The following is a 23,567-nucleotide window of genomic DNA, read 5'->3' as shown; positions in this document are numbered from 1 at the left end:
TCATGAGCCTCATAATGACGGACCACATATATGATGGCGGTCCCATAAAATTATAATATCATATTTTTACTGTACATTTTCTAGGTTTAGACACAAAAATACCACTGTGTTAAAGTTTTTTACAGTATTCAATACAGTAACATGTACAGGTTTACAGCCTAGGAGCAACAGGCCATACCATGTACCCTAGCTATGTAGTGGGCTATACTAGCTAAGCTTGTGTAAGTGCAGTCTTTCATGTACCCACAGTGATGAAATCAGCTAACAATGCATTTCTCAGACATATCACCATCATTAAGCAATACATGACTGTATTATTTATACAGGCTTTTATCACCTTCATTTAAGAAATCGCTCTTCCCAACTCATGAAGTCCTCAATATCAAATTCTCCTATCACCAGTGATAGAAATTATGTTTTCATACATATATCTCTGCTGAGGAATTAAATAGTCACATTTCATTTTCTTTTCTGGTTCTAGTGGTTTGATTTCAAATGAGGTTTGAATATTATCAATATTCAAATATTATCTTTGGTGGTTTGGTTTTGTCTTCTCACATTAACGTATTTAGTAAGAAAATTCTTTCAGAGTGATGTAGGTTATTTTATAATTTTGGTTTGAGGAGGCTGTAGTTCTATTACAAATTCAGAGGGCTTCAGAGGCAATCCAATTTCTTTCTTTCATCCCACATCCTGCCACTCCTCAAACACAGCGGATATAGAGGACTCAACTTCTTATTTTACATGGATAATTTAATGATGTCATTGTTTGACAGCTGAACCCAGAGAATCTCAAAGTGGCACCACACTTGTCTGCGTATCAGCTTCATGGGGAGGCAATATGGCCTGGAGTTTATAAATGAGGGCTTTGGAGTTGGCATGCCTCAGGGTTTGCATTGGAGTTAGTGACCGTGTGCAAGTAATTACATGCTCTGTGCCTTTGTTTCCTTGAGTAGGGATTATGGTAAGGATTAAGTCAGATCACGAATGTAAAGCATTTAACATCCTACATGGAAAACAGTGAGTACTCCATAAATATCAGTTGCTATTATTATCACCTAATGTTGTAATTATTCTGTACTAATGAGGTATACCATCCAAAAAAATATCTGATTCTGCTTTGTCTGTTGTACATTTGAGATTGTCCACTTAAGAAGGTTTTCTGAACATTATTAAATGCATTCTGTATATGTTCAAGCTTCTTAGCAACGAAGAGAAACCACTGAAAACTGGACAATGTGCATGGCCTCTGGCAGTGACCTCCAAATGTCCCTGGATGTTCTCTCAGGCATTTCAGGAACATTTGAGTCTCCATACGCCCCATGATGGTTTTTCCACTGCCACATGACACCACACTGCATGGCTTCTGCTGAAACAAAACCACTACCATCTTAAATCTTGATAAACTCACTAACTAGAGAAGAAAGAAGAAGTCTACCAGAGAATCATATTTTGCTCTTCTCTCCCTCACATCCTTACTCCCACATCCAGTCAATCAGAAAGTCCTGCCAAGTTTCCCTCTTAAATATTTTAAGATCCTCAGCAGCCCTAAAAAAATCAAGCCCATACTACTTACCATAGCAAACACCATCTAGCCCTGGTTTTATATCCTGCCACTCTCTGCCTCACATGTGATTCTTCCACAATGCGAAGCTGCTCTGATTCCCACATCCACCATGCTGATTCCTACCCCGTGCCTTTGCTCAGGCTGAAACTCCCTTCCCTCACCATGGGTGAGGTATACCTGGCAAGCTTCTTCCTATCCATCCTTTATGATTTAATAGAGCCACCATCTTCCACTCTTCATCCTTCTTGCCAAGCTGAAATAGCTTCCCCTCTTCTGTGTTCTCAAAATACCCTTTACTCATTTCTATCATTGTCTTATCCTGCCATTTTACAAATATTGATTTGTTTTTCCCCCAGCTGGCTACAGAAGTTGACCCTATACTGTATTTACTTTCTATCCTCCAAGCACTTACTACTGAGTTACAAACAGATGCTAAACAAATTTTTCTTGAAAAAGGGAGCAAGTGTGCCTTCAGATACACTCCTAGTGTAAACTTGGAAAATTTTCTTAATTTCCGTAGAAATTGTTTTCATCTATAAAATAGGAGACTGGTGGGTTCTGCCAATCACAGGCTACCATGAATCTACAGTGCATGCTTTTCTCAAACCAGCATTTGCAATTAGTGGCAGAAATGAAAATTCTGGCTGATTATAACCAAAATCCTTCGGCAAAGTACTTCAAGTCTCCTACAAGCTCCTTTCTCTCACCCATTGTTCCAGCCACACCATCGATTTCAATAGTTTCCAAATGCACTGTAGACTTTTTCATACCTCTGGCTGTTTCTCCGTTAAGTTCTCTCAGCCTGGAATATTATCCAGCCTCCCTTTGTACAGGGAAACTCCACCCCTTCCTCTATCCCTGGCTGAAATACAAGTTCTTCTATAAAATTCCTTCTTTGATTAGATTTTGACTGTACCACTTGCTCCATTTATCCTAATATTATAAAAGTTGATAGTATATCTATATCCTTGATTTCACTGTAAATTCCTTGAAACTTGAAGCAGGTCCTATTTGTCACTATGCCACTCAAAATGCACAGAACTTCCCACACAGTAGGTATTAAATTTATGTCGGTATGTGAATTTATTCCTAATGTCACTGTAAAATGAGAAAAGCCATTCAAAGGTCAAATTGGCAATGCATGGTTAAGAATTTTTAATTTAACATCCTCTCTTCTGAGATTTTAGCCGCAGAAAATAATGCAAACACTACAAATGCAAAAATATTCTGGGGAAATTTGTATAAACAAGGAAAAACAGAAAACAAACTCTGTAAGTATGATAGAGTACACCAATTCAAGAGGCTATCATAGAGCCATTAAAATGGTAATTTGAAGATTACAAAGAAATACGGGCAAAATGTAAACCAGAAGAGAGTTATAACACAAAATTAAATATATGGCATGATTGTAACAACAGCACCCTATGAATAAAGATTTGAAGGATATCTAGAGAATAAAAATAGATCATTTTGACTCAATATGGGATTATGGGGAAATTTTTCTATTTTTTATAAGCCTCTGATGTTAGCATAAAGTTGTTTTAGTAACTAATAATTAAAGCTAAAGGCAGAAAGTAGAAGTTATTGACAATAAAACAAATAAAGGGGAGAAAAAAGGATACGATGGACCAAAATGACATTACTAACACACTTAAATGATGCATGCAAATACAACAAAGAAAGCATTACAAAGCCAAGCTTGAAACTAAGAAATGGAATGCCCCAGCTATAGAAACAAAGAAGGCATTTGATTCCTGACCAAGAGGCAGGAATTGATGCACTTCAAATGGACTTTAGATTTAGACTTTAGAACTTAGGGGTTTGGGCCATAAAGCGTATGAGGAGAAAAAAAAATGAACTTGGGACCACATGAGGTGAAAGCTAGCATTCAGTCTCCCTACACGAAGCCACAGACCTCAAAATGCCACCCAGTCCATGAGAAGCCAGGACACATGGAATCCCCTCCTCAAAAATGTACATACAAACAACAACTATCAAAACTTCTGCAGAAGAGGAACTCACAAAGAAAAGCTATGAAACACAAAAGGAAATGGAACATGATGAGGAAGATTAAGCAGATAAAAATAGACAATAATTTGTATCCCCACAACTGAAGAAAGGAAAATCTAAAATGGACTATTAGATAAATACAGTGAATGAGTAGAAAGGACTAGTTTATAACTCTGTGGGAATAAAAGGTTGCTTTGAAAAGGAACAAAAAAGACACCAACTAAAGAGGGAGGTAATAAGGGAGGTGATACACCTGGGAAAATCATGCAGAATGCAGCATGGAGAAATGAAGAAATAAAAAATATGAAAGATTCATTAAGAAACATGAGGCACAGAATACTCAATGCTGTGTATACATAAATTCTAAAAATAAAAGAGGAGAGAATAAGGGAGAGAATATTCAAAGTAATGGTTGAAAACTTTCCATAATAGAAGGAAAACACGGGTCTCTAGTATTTCTAAACATACCACAGCTAACACAACAAGTAAAACTGCACTCTTCCAAAGAAAAGAGGAAACAGCTAAAGCAAACAGAGAAAACAATTATTGACAAGGAAACCATAATTACATTGACAGACTTCTTTCATCAGCTACAGAAGATGACAGAAAGCGATGAAAAAATATCTCCTAAGGACATCCAAAAAGATTATCTTCTAAGAACTAAGAAAAAATAACTATCACTTTAGAATTCTATACTTAGCAACACTATATTCATGAATGAAGCAAAATAAAGATATTTTTCAGAAAGTAAGCCAGAGAGATTTTATCACTCAGAACTGTCCATAAAAGATGCTCCTTCTTAGAAGCCAGACAGAATCCGGAAGGAACATGGAAAATGCAAAAACAATAATACATAAATAAACTGGTTGTCATGTTGGTAAGTCTACCTAGAACTACTGACTGGCTACAAAAACAACAACAAAATAGTAATAATGGTTTATTTGGGGAGTATCAAAAAGCAGGTATAAGTAAAATACTGAACAATTGTAATATTATATGTAAGAATGGGAAGATTGTAGTTAAATGGTATTTAGATCCTTGCGTTATTTGGGAAGAGGACAGAGATACTACCTTTAGCCTTTGATAAATATACACGTAAAACATTTATGCATACTTCAGTCAACATTGGAAGTTAATAGGTCACGGAAGTATGCTGTAATTTCTAAAGTAAAGGTAAATGAAAGACTTTATAGGTTCTGAACAGGAAAAAAATGGGGAAGAACCTGCTAAATTTTGGATACCAAAAGTTATTTAAAAACTATGGTAACTAAGAGAGAGTGGTACAGGTGCAGTGATTGACAAATAGACCAATAGAACAGAAGCAAAAGCTCAAAAAGAAACCAATGCATATGAAAACATTCAAATTAGGGCAAAGGTAATATTACTAAGTAATTGTAGAGGACAGTCTTTTTAATAAATATGAAGGTAAAAACAAATCTCTAGAACATTATATTAGAAAATATCTTCATGAAGTTGGAGTAAGGAAATATTTCTTAAACAGGACATACAATGTACTTAACAATAAAAGAATGGTAAATTATATAATATTAAAAACTTCTGTTCACAAAATAAATTATTAAGAGAGCTTTGAAAAGGCAAGCTACTTATTAGGAGAAGATGTTTGCCGTGCATATTCCAGACAAATGGCTTGTATCTAGAAAATATAAACAACCTCTTCATATTTATATAAAAAGATTATAATTAAGTAGAAAAATGGTCAAGAGACTTGAACAGGCAGCTCATCAAAGGGGAAATTCAAATGGTTAGAAAGTTGTACAAAGGTCCTCTACTTCATTAGTCATCAGGGAAATGCAAAGCAAACCCTCAATAAGATACACTTACATACACACCACATGAATGATTAAATTGTTCCCAGGAAGGTTATACCTCTGGCGCCATAAAACATTCCCATTTTACCTATTCTTGCTAACTTTGAGTGTTATCGATTTATTTAAATTGCCAACATGACGGACAAAGTGGTAACTGACAGTTTTAGTTTGCGTTTTGGAATATTACAGATTTTGTAATTTTTATGTATATTGACTAGGACATGTATATTTGTATATTTTTATTTTGAGACTCATCTATATCCATTTTTCTACAGGCTATCCATTATCACAAACACTGTTAGTTCCATCTTCCTTAGTAAGAAGGTATAGCTGGTATTCAAGGCAGCAACGTGCCCACAAGGAATAGTGGTATGACCCAGTTCTGGCCATGAAGTAATCAGAAGCCTACTACTGAGGATCCAGGAAAATGGTTTGTTTCCTAGTGAAAAGACAGTTTCAGCTGTCTTCTGACCATCTCCTTCCTCCTGCCTAGGATGCAGAATGTGGTGTCTGGAGGAAAGCATCAATCTTGTCAACATGAGGATGATAGCCACATACATGTTTAGGACAGTAGAAGAAGCCTGTATCCTGGAGGCCTTCCTTGAGCTGCTGAACTAGTCCTGAATTGTCTTCCTCCAGGTTTCCTGTGATGAGAGAAAAATAAAGCCCCACTGGATTCAACCTCTGCAGCAGGGTTTGTTACATACATCTGAACACAACTGAACTGCTACATCCATCTCTTTCTTATTTATTTGAAATATGTTTTTAATAGATTAGGTATAGATTATAGCAAGTTTATAAGCAAGAAAGCACAAATTTCAAAAGGAAGGAGGGTATACATAGGATCCCTGTGCCTGGACATTTTCTTTTAGATATCTATGCTTTCTCAAGCAGTTAAAGTAATCCTTTTTAAAAGTAAGTCATGTCAGGTCACTCCCCTATTTAAGTCTTTGCAATGATTCCTGTGTCATTAAGAGTAAAAACCCAAGCACCCAAAATGGTTTATGAGAGGCTAGAATGCTCCTGCCCCCGGCCTATTCTGAAATTCAGGCCTCATTTCCACCTGCTCTCTCCCAAGCACTCATTCTGCTCCCCCAACACAGGCCTTCCTGATAGCCCTTGAGCTGAGCATACTCCCACTAAGGACCTTTACATTTGCTGATCCCTCTGCTTGGAGCATCAGGTACGTTGGCTTGTCTCCCTCCCCTCCCCCCACAGGTCTCTGGTCAGGTGCATCTGGTAAGCGAGGCCTTCCTTCACAGCCCACACTTCACATACCCCCTACTTGATTCACTTTGCTTCTCTGCATTTCCCACCACCTGATACATTATAGAATTACTCCTTTAAGAACTTATCCTTTAATGAAATTATTTTTAAAATAGGAGAAAATATGGATGAATATTTGTCATCACTTTGAATATAGAAAGGATTTCCCAACACAAAAGCAAAGAAAGAATTCACAAAGTAAAAGATTAGTAGACTTCATATAAATAAATTCTTAAATTTACCCAGTCTGAGAAAATTAAAAGGCAAAAAAGCTGGAATTTCCTGGAGAAAATATCTGTGACCATTGAAATATAGTTTATATAGAAAGAACATTAAAATCTCTGGGAAAAAGCAGCAAGTCTCCTAAAGACAGAAATACAAAAGGATAGGCAGGGATAGATATTTAACAAAAAGGGAAAGAAAAATGAGTAACAAACTTTTAAAATACTCTACTTCACTAATAATAATGTTTAAAATGTAAACAAGAAGATATAATTGTGCATGTTTTTAAAAAATGGGGGACAAAGTTAAAAGAATATATGATATGGACAACTTCATAAATTGATGATGGAGGTATAAATTAGAGTCTTACTCTGGAAGCATCTTGGCATTTTTGTATCTAGAGTTTAAAAAATATTGATACCCTTTGATCTGGTATTTCCACTTGCAATATGCATAGCAAGATAGTCATAGACTAACATTCACAGAAAAGTTATTAGCTGCAGCACATTTTAAAAGAGCTAAAAATAGAAACACAAATATCCCACAATATGAGAATGGTTAAATATGTTATGTTATATGCATAATATAGAATATTAATATCTCATTAAAATCATTTAAAATAATTTTTAACCTGAAAAAATATGTAATTTTCATATAGTTGAAAATTCAGGATGCTACATACATTGCACAGTATAAGTGTTTAAGAATGTGAAGAAATCTATATAATCAAGATCAAAGAAAACATACCAAATATCAATAATTTCTGCATTCATATGATAAAGGTAGAAACATTTTCTTTCCTTTTCAAAATATAGTTCTGAATTTCCTAAATTTTTATCAACAATTTTAAAAATCCCAGAAAAAAATGACTCTTACTTAAAATAAAAGCACATTTAAAGTGTGGTGTTCATGATCCTAGGTTCTGCCAGTCTCAATAGAATGATTAATATTCATTGTTCATAATAAGTATTTCAGGTAAAATGTATGCCTGAGAAAATTTTCTGATGCCAGAAAAGTTACCTAAGAAAAAAATTTAGATCCTCAAGACAGAAATGCAAACCAAAATAAAGAAAATGATGGTGAACCTGGCTCCAGCACTATGTGAAATTCTATCAGAAAGTGCAGCCTGTTATGATCCTTCAACAAAATGGAAAGCATAGGAGGAATGACTCTCCTCATTGGGCATGACCAGTAGGTGTACAAGGAAGAACCATGTCCTCCTAGACCTTCTTTTAATTATTTCAGTCAACTGTCAACTTTGCTGTTACTTCCTATGATTTCCAAATTCCTGACTCTAATCATATATAAGTCCCCTTTCCAAGGATCAATGGCAGAAATACTGATAAAACTCCAATGAGAAAATGTTTACATTTTATTATTTTATTTATTAACTAAATATCCCTAAATAAACGATTAATTTAATAGATAAACACTAACATTCTGAAAATTCAGCCTCAATGGTTGCTTCAGGTAGCTGAGGTAGCTTCAGAGTTCCAGGTACTCTCAAATACTTTCAACTCATCTCAACCAAATGTACACATTACAGAATACATTGCACAGTCTGAAAGACCATCTGCTTGATGGCCCGAGCCCACAAGGTCCCAGGTATTTGAGGCTGGTGGTGACAATTAACAGAACAATTGATCCGGAGCCCACAAGGTCCCAGGTATTTGAGGTTGGTGGTGACAATTAACAGAACAATTGATATAATCCCCATTTTGGCAGTTTGGTAATATTACAAAGCACACATTCAATGACCTAGAAAATATAGCTCTAAAAATTTTCCTACATATACATGTGCATGCGCAAAATGACATGGGTGAAAAAATGAATTCACAGATATGGAATTTAAAACGGTCACCTAAAAATCCATCAATAATGGACTAGTAAAATGAATTGGAATATATCCATAGAGTGGAATACTTTGAAACAATGAAAGAGATAAAAAGAATCTCCTTGTGTACTCACTCATTTATATAGATGTTTGCCAGTAAGACAAACCAGTAAGTAAAAAAGCAAACAGACAGCCTGCAGCCTATGTTACCATTCGTCTTGTGAAAGGTATAAAACTAAAACGTTGACTGCCTCTGGGTTGGAGAAATTGGTGGCTGAGAAATGAGGCAGGAAGGAGACTCTTTCTTCCCTGTATACTATTTTATCTTTAAAATTTGTAACATACGATGGTATTACCTATATGAAAATAAAATAAAACACTTGAAAATACATACAGAACAATTTAACTGTATGTTTCTCTGTTTTTCTATTAATATTCCCAATCTCAATTACTGTTTATGGCCCAGGTTCTTTTCTATTCTAGTAAAATACATGTCTATTGTAATAGGCAAATGTTTTCCAGCTCAGAACATTAACTACTGCAGGATCTTTTACCCAAAGGACAGGATTCTTTTATTTTCAATATCAGTTATTAATTTACATGTTTAACTATGATTTGTTAAGTGCTCTCCACATGCTAACACGTGCACGAGGCCTACAAAGTGGAAAAGATGCAGGTCTTATTTAAAGGAGCTCATAATACAGTAGGAAAGACAGAAAACTGAGCAAGCAACTTATTCCATTCATAACTATCTATTTATTCCCACTATGTGCAGGACAAATCAATACAGTGTGATAAGTAGGAAAAGAAAGGGAAGAGATAAGGCACCAGGAGAGCCCAGACAAGCCCAGCTCTATCAGAGTAGGTGAGAGAAGTCCAAAAGACAACAGGAATTACCCAGGACATGGAGGGGGCAAAACATGTTCCACCATGTCCAAAAGTTAAGAAAATCCATTGAGCAATCAGTAACCTACAGGTAGTTACCATGGCTCAGTAGAAGAGTGTGAGGGGGTCGCGTGCAGAAAAGAAGCTGGAGCAATGGACCAGGAGAAGTCAGACCACAAAGGACCATGCTCAAGGTTTGGAATTTTAGCCCAAAGACACCAAAGACTCACAAAGGGTTTCAAGCATTTGGGATTCCCAAACAGTAGTTTCCAAACTTGGTTATACATCAGTATCATCAAAAGAGTTTGATTTTCAGTCCCACCCTAAACTTATTGAATAAGAATTTTTGGGCATGGGTCCCAGAATCTGCACTTTTTTTAAAAGTTTGCCTGGTGATTCTGATAGTAAACCAACTATAGGATCTAGGTATCTAGGATCTCTGATATATACACCTCAAGGCTCAAAATACCCTCTTAGTGACTAGAAATGAAACAAGGAAAAGTCTCTGCTCCTCCCTCCCAATGCAATTGCTGAGTATAGAAGAAAGTTGGTTTTATTGGGCTATCCCAACACCAGAGACAGAGAAAGCAAAAGGCAGGAACAATGGGATAAATCAAGGCTAGTACTCTGAAGGGGAACATTTATAAGTCCTAATCTACAGGAAGAAAAAGAAAAAAAACAAATGAAATCTCAGTTGACATAGGTACAAAAATTTCTTCTTACTTTGATTATTTTAAGTCATTATAAGACACCAAAGCAGACAGTACAATTTAACATTACTTTTAGCTCAGCCACATATTTGGAGTTTAAGACTCATATTTGGCATTCATAGCCATACAGCACATACAATCTCAACTGGCCTAAAATGGGAAGTTTTTCACCACCTGAGGCAAAATGAGAAGTGGCTATTTGCTTCCTGTACCAAGATAACTTGATGTTACTAAAGACTGGGGAGAGCTTCACATTCACAACTCTTTAATGCTTTAATGCACCACAGTAAACATTCATCTCTATTTTGGGTTTGTCTTCCCTATTAAAATTCATCTTGGCTCACGCCTGTAATCCCAGCACTTTGGGAGGCCGAGGCAGGCGGATCATGAGGTCAGGAGATCGAGACCATCCTGGCTAACACGGTGAAACCCCGTCTCTACTAAAAATACAAAAAATTAGCCAGGCGTGGTGGTGGGCACCTGTAGTCCCAGCTACTCGGGAGGCTGAGTCAGGAGAATGGCGTGAACCCGGGAGGCGGAGCTTGCAGTGAGCCGAGATTGCACCACTGCGCTCCAGCCTGAGTGACAGAGTGAGACTCCACCTCAAAAAAAAAAAAAATTATCTTGGCCACCATTTGAGGTGTTTTGCAAGACATAATTACACAGTAATTCTGACATGAAAACAAAAGAAAGAAATAAGGAAAACCAAACTACCATACAAAGATACACTTTAAACATTTAACAGCCTTCAATATAGATGAGTCACATACTAAATAGAAATACCACCCACAGTTCCACCTGATCTGCACAGCGTTTCCTTCCAAAAAAGCAAGTGTATGTTTATTAAATGTATTCATTCACTCATTCAATGAGTATTTACTGGGCATCCACTCTGTGGCAGACACTGTGATAAGTACAATGAAGTGGTGAATAAGGCAATCTTCTCCCTGCCCTCACTTCACATACTGGTAAAAACAAACACTAGACAAAGCACAATAAGGACATGGGGTAAAGTGCTGTGAATGGAGGCCCAGGATGCTAAGGGAACACACCACTGGGACCTAATCTGGTCTGGGGGTTATGCAGAGCTTCCCCTGAAGATTTTGTAAAAGTTGTGATTTCAAAAATTAAGTAGAAGTTGGGGGGGGGTGTGGAAGGAAAGAAGAGGAGGAAGAATAAGTGTATGTATAGATTGGGAGGCAGGGTAGGAAGGGAATAAGATAGACATGGAGGAACAGCATTAGAAAATGTATAGAAACGAGATAAAACATGGTGTGCTTTGAAAACTGAGAAAATCATTATGGGTTGGCAAAGAAGGAAAAGGAAAACATAGACAGTATATAAAGAAAGGTGGCAGGAGAGATAGCCAGGGGATACCTATGCACAGTATCGAATTAATCTGGAACACTCCCCTGAATTAAGCAGAGATGAGTACTTTTGTCCCAATTTATAATTAGCTCTAGAGCATAAAAATTAAGTGCCTTGGCCAAGGTCACCAAGTCAGAGCAAAGTCAGCTGTCTGTGGCACTAGATCCATTTGTCTAATGGTTCCAACAGATACTGAAATTCAGGATATTGCTTTAGTCCCAAATTACATAAAATTGAATTTTCTGATGTTTTAATAGATATTAGCACCAGTAAAATATTTGTTGTTCATAACATCAAATTATTGAGTGATATTTTATTAAGTTTTTCAAAATGTTACCATTGGGGGAAACTGTACACAAGTTCTTTCTGTTATTTCTTATAACTTTATATGAATCAATAATTATCCAAATAATTTGTTGAAAAATGGAATTACTGGTTTACCCAAAAACTAACAGTAAGAAGACAAGAGAGGAAAGTATGATTTTTATATACTAGGATGATCTTCATGTTTTTCAGCTTACTACTAATTCATTCAAGGTTTTGGGACACTACAGATTTAACACTGATCAAGGGATTTCTATGTGCTAGACGCCTTGCTAGTTAATTTGCAATCTCATATATGCCTCATAACTACAAGATCAATGTCTTATAATTTCATTTTATGGATTAGAAAATAAACACAGAGCAGCTAAATAATTCACCCAGAGTTTCAAGGGTATGGGTGGCAGAGGCAGAACTCAAACCCAGGTCTGTGTTACTCCAAAGCTCTGGTTCCTAGGTTGAAAGCCAGGTCCTAGGTTCTTTCCTTCCATGGGTCATTCACTCCCTTTAGGCTTCCATTTCCTCTACTCAATGAAACTAAACCAGATGAGCTCTGATTTCATTTCAAGTTCTAAATGTTTGCCAACTTACAATGAACTGGTAAAGTAAATGCTATATATGCTATCTAAAAACAACATTATGATAAAATGTTACTTTTTTTCATTTATTCCCCCTTTCCTTAGTTTAGATAACTATTAGGGTGAACTACAGAGTAATTGTGCTTTTTCTTAATTCTGAGAAACTCCATGTAGACAATATATTTATATGATTATGTAGCCATGTATCACATAGATACAGACATATGTACCATATAGACAATAAAAAGACTCTATTGCAAACATCTTAAGCTATAAAAATATAAGCAAATTTATTGGCTCATGTTACTAAAATGTACAAGGACAGGCAAGTTTCAGTCATGGATGGATGCTCAAACAACGTCCTCTTGGGAGGAACAAAAGAGGAAGAGAGATTGTCCTAAGCTAAAAAGAGGTCAGAGACCTTAACCTCAAGCCATTCCTACCCTTTAAACCCCAGAGTAATTACTATATGCCAGCCAGTCCTCTCCCAGGTCAACTTTTCTTTCAGGTGCCATCTCAGAAATGTCTAATATTTCTGTGATGACTCATATCCCCTCCAGGTTCCGCCCATTCACAGCTTCTTTGAAAAACTATGTGCACTCACCATCTCCATCTGCTTCCTCACGTCCCATTCACTCTCTCACTCCCTGTAATCTTTTCTCCACCCACCTACACCCCACTCAAAACACTTTTGCTTACAGCACAATGACTTCCATCTGGCCACTATGATGGGCCTTTCCTGCTCTCCGGTTCTTAATCTCCCAGTAGAACTTCACATGGTGGACAACTTTCAGAACTTCTGAAAGCTCTTCTCTTGGATTTAGCAATAAAATATCTGCCTGGTTTTCCCAACTCCTCTGCTGTTCCTTTTCAGTCTTCAACATCCTCTTTCTCTACCCACTAATTAATTTCTCCAGGGCTTTGTCCTGGGTCCTCTTTTCTTCTCTCTCTACGTTCTTCCTTGTTGATCTCCCCTATTCCCATAGTATTAATATTATGAACATGCTAATGTTCCCCAATTTCCCTCTTGCTTTGACTATCCCTCCGGCTGACTATTTTATACCTCCACGTGGATGCCTCATAGGCTTTTAAAGCCCTGACTTTAATTTTTCATTCCTCACTCTCTATATCTATCCTCTCCAAAAAGCCAGCTCCTCTACCTTTCTAATTTCAACAAAGGGTTCCACCCTCCACCAGACAGGCAGGTCAGAAACATCCCTCTACCTTACCACCCCACAGAGCTGTGTCTGTTGGGAGTTCCTGTCACTTCAGAACCCAAAATAAATCTTGACTCTAGTCACTCTTCTCCATCCCCACTTCCCCAACTCTCATCCAATCCACCACCCTTTTTCTCCTGGACCAGACTCTTAACTGGCATCCTCACATCCAGTCAGATTTATTTCCAATACATTATCCTAAGAACACAGGGGAATTGCTGTGAGATGAAATCCAGAACATGTTACTCTCCTGCTTGCAACCTCTAAATGGCTTCTCAATCCACACTGGATAGAATATAAAATCCAGTTTCCCCTCAGAGAATGCTCCCCAGATCTGAAACTTATCATCATTCTTGTCTCTAAGTATCTCATTTCCTCCCTCTTTGCACTACCCATTCCATTGGCCTGTTCTCTTTTCTTCACAGGCCTTAACACTATCTGAAATTATCTTTCTGGCTTATTCTCTTGCTTAAATCTAATCCCCTCCTGTACAGTGTACACTCCATGAAGGCAGGCACCTTGCATTTACCTCTGTAATTCTAATGCCCAGAACAGTACCTGATATACAGTGGATACTCAATAAATAACTGCTGAATGAATGAATGAATGAATGAATGAATGAAGCACAGCCATCTTTGACATGCATCGTCTTGACTTTAGATGAAAGGAAAGGAAGTAAACAGGAAGTTTATTTTTAGCTCAGCTTCTATCGGAAGAGAATTATCTAATAACTCCAACAGTCTTTCATCCTGGTCAGTTTTTCAACATGAACAACTCATTGTATATTTCAAATTGAAGTCCAAACTCCCACAATCACTCTCAGATTATTCCATTCCACTCTATCAGCATGGGATAATTATTTATTCTAAAATGACTGGTTGAGCCATTCCTCTCTCCTTATTCAAAAGCCTAACCAACTTAAAAGTGACTTTGTATGTATTTGAAGGAGTAGTAATCATTCCTAACAATAACAGGATTTTATGTGGTCATGTCGTCGTCTACCTGTCTTCTAAATTACAGGATAATTTTACAGAGCACTTTTAAAGGGTGCTTGTTTGATATTGGTAAGGCCCTTTATTCTGTTGAACATCTTGATGAATGTTTGAATATGTAAGTTTGGGGCGAGAAGTTGAGGACAGTTAAACTGCTGTATAAAAAGACATTGAAGCTCTCAGGAACAGAAGGTGTGAAGGATATTTTCTGAGTATAGATTAGAAATATTTTTACAGAGTTACAATATTATAGTTAGGGGAATGTCGACAGTCCAGATACTTGTTTAGTGAATCTATTCATTCTTGACTTAGCTTGACAATAATTTCTTATCTCAGAATCATGATATTGATGCTGATAATGATTATGGTAACCACTAGCAATTATTGAGGACTAAAAATATACCAAGCACATTCCTAAAGCACTTGGTGTGCACTATTTCAGTCTTCATAACAATTTGCCTACAGCCAACCCAGAGAGTAAGCGGTGGTGTTGGACTTGAACCCAGATTTTCCCATGGTCTCAATTGCTATGCTATAAAAGAAGATTAACAGCTCCTCTATCATAATTCTAAGAAGAAGAAGTCACTGGAAGGTGATGCTGGTGTGACAGAAATTTTGGAGGAAATAAATTATGTCATCCTGGAGTTTGTGAAAGAGAAAGGATGAACTAAGACACAAATTTAGAATATACCATGGTTTGAAAGTTTGTGTCCCCTCCAAAAGTCTTGTTGAAACTTAATCCTCCGTGCAACAGTATTAAGAGGTGGGGCCTTTAGGAGGTGGTTAAGCCATGGGGGCTCTACTCTTTTGGATGGAATTCGTGCCTTATAAAAGGGCTAAAGGGATCGAGGTAGGCCCCTTTACCCTTCCACCTTCTACCATGTAAGGACAAAACAACAAGGCACCATTTTGGAAGCAGAGAACAGCCCTCACCAGACACTGAATCTGCTCATATCTTGATCTTGAACTTCTGAGCCTTGAGAACTGGGAGAAACAAATTTCTATTATCTTTATATTACCCAGTCTAAGGTATTTTGTTATAGCAGTGCACATGAACTAAGACAGGATCTTAATAAAAGTGTTCATTAAAATTAGAAGTAAACTAAGCATGATGTTAGGCTCAGAAGTTCTAAATAGGAACCTACCTACCTCAGAAAGGAATGAGCCTCTAAAAAACATTTCAGACAGGCACACACACACACACACATACACATACACACACTTGCAAACAGCTGCGGAGGGGAGATAAAAGAGCAGGCTTCCAGAGAAAATAATGTGGTCACAGAGGAAACTTTCTGAGGGGTTCAGGCTTCAAAACAACCACATAAAAGATGGAAGGAGAATCATATAACAAAGAATGAAATATAAGAGTAGCACTGACCTATATGAAGAATGTCAGAAAAGTTCAACTAAAGCCAGGAATGAGCTGGAGCCTGTGAAAAATGCCAAAGATGACAAAAAGGTTAGGCTGCAAAAACAAAAAGAAAAGATACTCAGAGCCAGAAAATGAATAAAGAATATTATTGTCCTTGGCTTTCAGTGGGGGGGGGGGGGGGGTGGATATTTACCAGTAGTTTGGCATTTGTCAGAAGCTACACAGAGAATTTGGCTGAGACATGTGCCAGTGTTGGGCCCACCAATCTTGCTGACTCGCTATCAGGAAGATTCCAGATCCCCAAAGAGGCAATGTACCTCTCTTAAAACACAAGTCCAAAAATGTCATAGAAGATGCATCCAACTTCTGCATTGTTGTCTACAAAGAGCAAACAGCAAAAGTAGATTAAGTATTGTTAAGAAGTACCTGGAGCTAACAGAAGAAAATGAGTTCATCCTTCAGGCCCTGATCAATTATATCCTATATTTCTGAAAGGCTAGTATGTCTTATAAAATCAAACAATGATTTTAAACTAATATGAAGGCTAGCAGTCCAAATTTGTCCTCAGGACTTTGACACTTGCTGTTCCCTCTGCCTGGACTACCGTTCACCCTGGATCTTCCTATGCTCCCTCACTTTATTTAGGACTGTCAAATGTCACCACCTCAGCCTTCCTGACCATTCTGTTTTGGTAGCTTGCAACCCCCTATTCATTATTCTATATCTCCTCACCCAGCTTCATCTTTCTTTGTAGCATTTACCACTACCTAAGAGATGTTTCTGCTTATTTATTTGCTGCCTTCTTACCCATTAGAATACGAGCTCTGTGGGATATAGACTTTGTCTTATTCACTACCTTATCCACCGTACCAGGTACTCAATGAATACTTGTTGAATGAATGAATATGTACATGAGTAGGGAGACCTGGGTCAGTTATAATTTTGGCGGATGTCATGACAATATCAAATGATGACAAGATTTGTATGAGCCAATAAAAATAGGTGGTAGCATTTTTTTAAATGTCATTTTAGGCTTTAGTAGTATGACAGTGGTATCTCAGGGATACATTAGAATTTCCCAAGTGTATTTACCATCATAATATCCATCTTTGAGATCTTCTCCCCTCATTTCTGGTTCAGTAACTATATGATGAGGCACAGGCATCTTTTTTTTAAAGGTGTTCCCATTGCTCACCTCCTATTAAGACTCACTGGCTAGAGAAAAATAGGTGGTCATTTCATTGGATTTTGTCAACCAACGTTCCAGGCATGCCTAAAAGATCCTGATGAGGGCTGGTGACCTAACTCAAAAACAACATGATCTGGTAGTTTTTCAGGTGAGTTATGGTGCATTTAGAGAAGGCTAGCCAAAGACAAATGCAGGAAATAATTAACATTCCATAGCCTAATAGATGCCTTTGGCCAATTCACAGGTAAGAAAGCTGACCTCTGACTCTAGTAAATGTCTTTACCTCTGTCACATCAGGGATCTTTGAGGGGGTCTCTATGTTACTACAGTCTGGAAAAGAGATATGTTTGGCTGGAAAACAAACAACAACTCATGATTGCTGCCTTCACATGTCTGAGGGACTGTGACTCAGAAAATGGGATATAGGTTTATTTTGTTCCTAATTCCAACCTCTGAAACAATTCAATATGAACAGGAGAAGTAAAAATAAAAGAGCACTGAACAAGGAGTCACCCAATCTAGGTTCCATCCCTCCTCTGACATTTACTACTAACTGCTATGACCCAAACAAGTCATTTACTCTCTCTGTGTCTCAGTTTCCCCAACCGTAAAGTGGCACAATGCCTGCCCTTCCTGCTTCATACTGCCTTCAATAAAGAAAGTCCTCTGAAAATCGTAAAGTTATATATAGATGGTAGGATTACTACCAAGTTACAGGATCAAGATTTAATTTGTAATTAAGAACTTTCAACACTTACAAGAACCAATCTAGTAGTGCAAGCTGTTTCAAACTGGGCAAGATCAAACTGGGACACAAAGACACGGATTGTTAATTGCACTGAAGTCATTCCTCCTTGAGAAGGAAAGAGAACGGGTAACTAATGTTTTCTAAGACAGTGGTCCCTTTATTGTTATTATTATTATTATTATTTTTGGTTTAAGGACTTCTTTTTCATGTCAGAAAATTTCACTGAACACACCACTCATATATATGTATGAGAGAGGAGGTGGGGAAAAGGCCACAGCCTCAGCAGCATCTGATTACAAAAATTCAAAATAACCAGAAGTACGATGCACTAGCTGATGCAGTCAAATAATTTCCATTTCTCAAGCACTATAGGACTCATGTCCATATGAAGACGGGCAGTGTGATTATGTGTGTAAGACATTACTCAGACTTCTAGGAAGGCAATACACTTTTTAGATTAGTGCACATTTTACAATAATGCATTCATTTTTGCAGACAGTGAAGCCCAGACACAGAATTCTTATTTTTTGCCACACTAAATTAACTAGTGGGCAGCATCCAAGTCCAGTCAGCCTTCACAAATGAAATAAGGTTCTGTCTAAAGGAAAAAAAAAATCTTTAAAATGTTCACTTCTCTTAACTCCAGCAAGCAAATTTCAAACAAGCAGTGGGTCCTGGATATTTTACCTTATTTATTTGAAAATGCCACTGATTGTAAGATACCCCATTGCCATATGTACTGGGAATGAAAAAAAGGCCAATTAAACTATGAAAGAATACTTTATCACTTAAAATTTTTTTATCTTTATTAAAATGTGCTTTTAAACTTGCCCAGATTGTTTTTTGTAATATATATTCTTGTACCTACATTACAAAGAAATAAACTGGTTAAGGTATCCCTAAACTTTCTTTATTTGCAGTTGGAATCTACTAAATAAATTGTGACTTGGTGTTTTCAGTTTCTGTGCTTCTCCACACAAAATCATTCTCTCTGCCATCAAGAGGGAGGTACTACAGCATCTCCTCAAAGAGAGATCACATATTATCTCCGAGATTTTCTTCTGAGCCACTGGCCCCCATTCTGCAAGTTCTGGTACAAATCCACAATCAAAAGCAATGATATCACAATTACGGCCTGGCCAGCAGAAGTATAAGACACATCCCAAAGACAGAATGATGTCCATCTTGAAAACAATACAGTATAAAATTCTTAGGAGAATCAATTCAGAAAAAAAAAATAGTTTTCTAACTAATAATGAAAATAGGCTTATCTTCCTAAGTACCTCATTGGTGATGTCCTCAGTCTTCTAATCCTCAAGGCAAGATAGGGAACCTGCTTTTAGTCTCCCTTCTGTTTCATCTAACTATACTGCCCATTGGACTTGCTCCTTGCTTCTCAGTCCTCCATCCACATCTTCCTTCAGGCTTTAACCCATCTCAAACACTTGATAATTACAGTTTTCTAACTGCCCTTCCTACCTGCAGTCTCTCTGCAATCCAACATATTAGGATTAATGACCTTCAAATACCTCTTTCATCATTAATTCCTAGTTCAAGCATTCCCACCTGCCCCATTTTTCCCATGGCTAAAACATCGAACTCCTTTGAAGGCCCCATAAAATCTGACCTCACTTTATTTATGAAACTTTATTTTCCACCTTCCTCTCCACACATCTGACCTGATGCTTGGGCCAGTCTCTTTATCTTTTGTTTTTACCATATGTATTCCCAACAGCACATTTTTGATCAAGCTACCTTCTCCTCCACCTATTCAGCTGTAATCTCTTTCCCTTGACAAAGTCTTTTCTGACTTTTCCAGGCCCTGTGGACTTCTTATTCTGTATTCCTGCTATGCTGATAGTGAGTATATTTTGGTTTTAAACTGAATGTGCACTCTTATTCTTTTTCCCTATGATTGTCAGCTTAGAATCATCAAAAACCAAACAAACCTTGAGGCTCAGTCAACTCCTGCCAAGGTGGCACCCCATACCCCCATTCAGTTTTAGTCCATGCTCTTTACAGTCTTATAGCAGCAGGTGGTAACTCTTGCAAATCTTTTTTTTTTTTTTTTTTTTTTGAGACGGAGTCTCACTCTGTCATCCAGGCTGGAGTGTAATGAAGCGATCTCGGCTCACTGCATCCTCCACCTCCTGGATTCATGCTGCTGTATCTTCGCACCTTCACCACCACCAGCCTCAGCCATGTGCATCTTAAATTCATACTCAATAATCACAAGGATCAGCAAGTCCACTATGCCCCCTACCATGGCCACCAACAGGCCCTATAGGGGCCTGTGGAATATTGAATAGTCAAGGCTCACTCATGCTGAGCAGGCTAAGCTGGTCTGTTAAAAAGGAAGGGGCAGTTATAAGAAGAAAGGGGGCTTTCTGAGAAACAGAACCATTTAACCATGGCATCTATGATGTTTGTATCAGACAACCTCATGCTGACTTGAAAATCTAAAGAAAAATAATCTGTTGAAGCTCTACCTTTATGTGACTTTGACCACTCAACCCTTTATTTGACCACTCAAACCTTTATTGCCCTGACTTTGGGTATGAGCGAGCTTTTTTTTTTTTTTTTTTTAGAGACAAGGTCTCCCTCAGCCACCCAGACTGGAGTGCAGTGGTCCAATCATAGCTCACTGAAATCTTGAACTCCCAGGGAGAGAGCACTTTTTTATTTAATTTGTTTTAACAGAAGTGGTCTCACTATGTTGCCCAGGCTGGTCTCAAATTCCTGGGCTCAAGCAATCCTCCTGCCTCGGCCTCCCAACGTGCTGGGATTACAGGTGTGAACCACTGCACCCGGTCGAGAGAGCAATTTTGATAAGACATCTCCCAAACAGTTGTTAGACTATTTAAAAGATACGATAGCAGATAGGGAGTGTAAACTCTGAAGCAAGACTGTTGAAGTCCTAAACCCATTGCTTATTAGCCGTGTGACCTTGGACAACTGACTTTAAAGCCTCTGCATCTTGGTTTCCTTATCTGCCAAACGAAAATGATATTATAACAGTACTATTTATCTCATATGGTTGTTGTAGGATTAAATGAAAAATTCTTAGAGCTGTGCCCAGTACAGAGTAGGTGCTCAATAGGTATTAGCTACTACTATCATTGTCATCATCATCAACATTTTTATTAACAATAAAAGCATTTCATTTATTGTTATTTATCTTTTACTATAAAGGCATCTACTGGCAGGCCTGTTCCAAACACAAGGCAAAGCCTGGCTTCTCTGATATCATTTCTTCAACCTACCTATTAAAATATTGCTTTTCTCTAATGTCTTGTCATCAGCCTTCCTCTTTCAATGTAAATTCTCTCCTTTGGGGATGTTATCAAGCCAGCTTCCCTTGTGAGTTCTAGACCTGCAGTCAAAGTTAAGACTCTTACTGTATTCTGATGTCTTCACCTGGATGGTTCATCCACAGGAACCTGGAATATCACATATCTCTCCTGGCTCCTCACTACCTATGGGGCAAATGCAAATCCCTCAGCCCAGCATTCTTGTATGCATCTCTTCAAGTGCCATCATTTTCAAACTCCTAGACCTTGGGTCATCCTATTCCCTTCACCTAGAATCCCTTTTCCTTTTCCTCCATTTGAAGAAAAACTCCCTTGGAAGCATTGCCTATGACCTCATTAGAAGACCTCCTCTTTCCTGTAGGTTCTCAAAGCACTCCCAGATATTCTATATCACAGCCCGTATCACACTATATGATAGTTTGTGGCTTCTCTCCTGTTCAGAAAGAGCTTAAAGACACAGGAAGGGGAACATCACATACCAGGGCCTGTTGTGGGATGGGGGGAGGGGGGAGGGATAGCATTAGGAGATATACCTAATGTAAATGACGAGTTAATGGGTGCAGCAGACCAACATGGCACATGTATACATATGTAACAAACCTGCATGTTGTGCACATGTACCCTAGAACTTACAGTATAATAAAAATATATATATAAAAAGACTTCATATTTTATTCATTTTTGTATGCTTAATGCCTAGTACAGTGGCAGACACATATTTTTCAAATAGATTAATAAGCTTCTGAGCCCAGGCAAACTTTTACTAGATTTTCTAAATCCCTAACAGATCAACATTTTCACCCACGGGGACTCCAAAAACTTATTGATAAATGAAATATAAAGGAAAGGAAGTAAAACGTATATGCAAAGACTACTGACTCTAAGATTACTAATAAATATTAGTTTAGCAGTTCAGCACACAGAATATTATAAGAAATGAATTTGCATTTTTCCCTGGCATTGTCATATTTTCTACCCAATGAATAGGGCCTTCAGGCACTGGTCCTGCTGTCACTAATTGAAATGTGTTTTCCTGATATTCAGCTTGTGTTGCTTTGTTGATTCATGTAGCACCTTGCTTAATTAAATAATGTAAGTGCTTGGTTACATAAGGCTACCAAATTTCCACTTCACAATTCAAGAAGTCATCATGGAAGAAGCCACTCAGTATTAGATAATACTAGATGGCAGTAGCAGTTGCAATAGAAAAATCCAAATTATCAGCCTCACTGATATCTGTCTACAGCTGCTATACAATGGTGTGGTTCTATTTTACATTTTGGTGTTCCTTGAGTGCCCTGTAGAGAAAAAGTATAAAGACAAGCACAAAACCGTCCACATGGGGAAAAAACAGCACAAATAAGCCAGTAAATCAAACCCCTAAATTGCAGTAAAATAATCAACTACCTTGATGTTGCAGATCATGCAACTAATATAGACATTATGCTTACCTCTCAAAAAACTTTTATAGTAGTTTATGTGGTCAATACTTTACAACATCAAAGCAATGATGCCAAGGACAGAAAAAGTACCGAGTAGAGAGAAGACTGCAGAGATTCAACTCTTGGCTCTTCAACCGTCTGTGGCTTTCCTATTTTCCTTAATCTCTTTCCCTAAGCCTCCTCTGTCTGTGATTAAGGAAAATCCTGCTCCTTCTCACACATTATGCCCATTGTATCTGTAATTCAACCACTCAAAATGAATTCAAAAATATATACAAAAGGTATTTGTCAGGCACTCTACAAGCCACCCAGGATGCAAAATGAATAAGATACATCACTCCCTCAAAGAGCTCACAGACAAGCAGAGATCTAACCAGGCCCATCCTCCTGCCTGGGTGCAGTTAGCCTGCACCCTCTGCCTAATTTTGGTGCTTGCTGCAATGTACTGAAGTACGTCCTTTCACATCTGTGCCTCCTCTTAGACCACAAGGCCATTGGAAGCAGAGGCCACATCTTGTTCATGTGTCGCATCTATGGTAGTCTGGTTCCCTCCTACATTTCTGATCTCATCTCCCACTACTTTCCTTCTCCTTCATTCCACTCCAGCTGCAATGACCTCTAGGCTGGTCCTTAACGTGCCAGGGGAACACATGCACCTGTGTTTGCACTTGCCATTCCCTTTGCCTGGATCACTCTTCCCTCA

The 23,567-nt window shown here is 37.8% G+C and overlaps 1 protein-coding gene across 13 annotated transcripts in view; it reads right to left on the bottom strand.

Annotated features, from left to right (window-relative positions):
- ANO4 (anoctamin 4) overlaps nucleotides 1–23,567 on the bottom strand; it is a 411,381-nt gene that overhangs the window by 270,224 nt on the left and 117,590 nt on the right. The window lies entirely within an intron of this gene.

This window comes from Homo sapiens, chromosome 12 (assembly GCF_000001405.40).
Source record: "Homo sapiens chromosome 12, GRCh38.p14 Primary Assembly".
Taxonomy (NCBI): Eukaryota; Metazoa; Chordata; class Mammalia; order Primates; family Hominidae; genus Homo; species Homo sapiens.
This window is presented reverse-complemented; position numbering and strand designations above follow the sequence as displayed.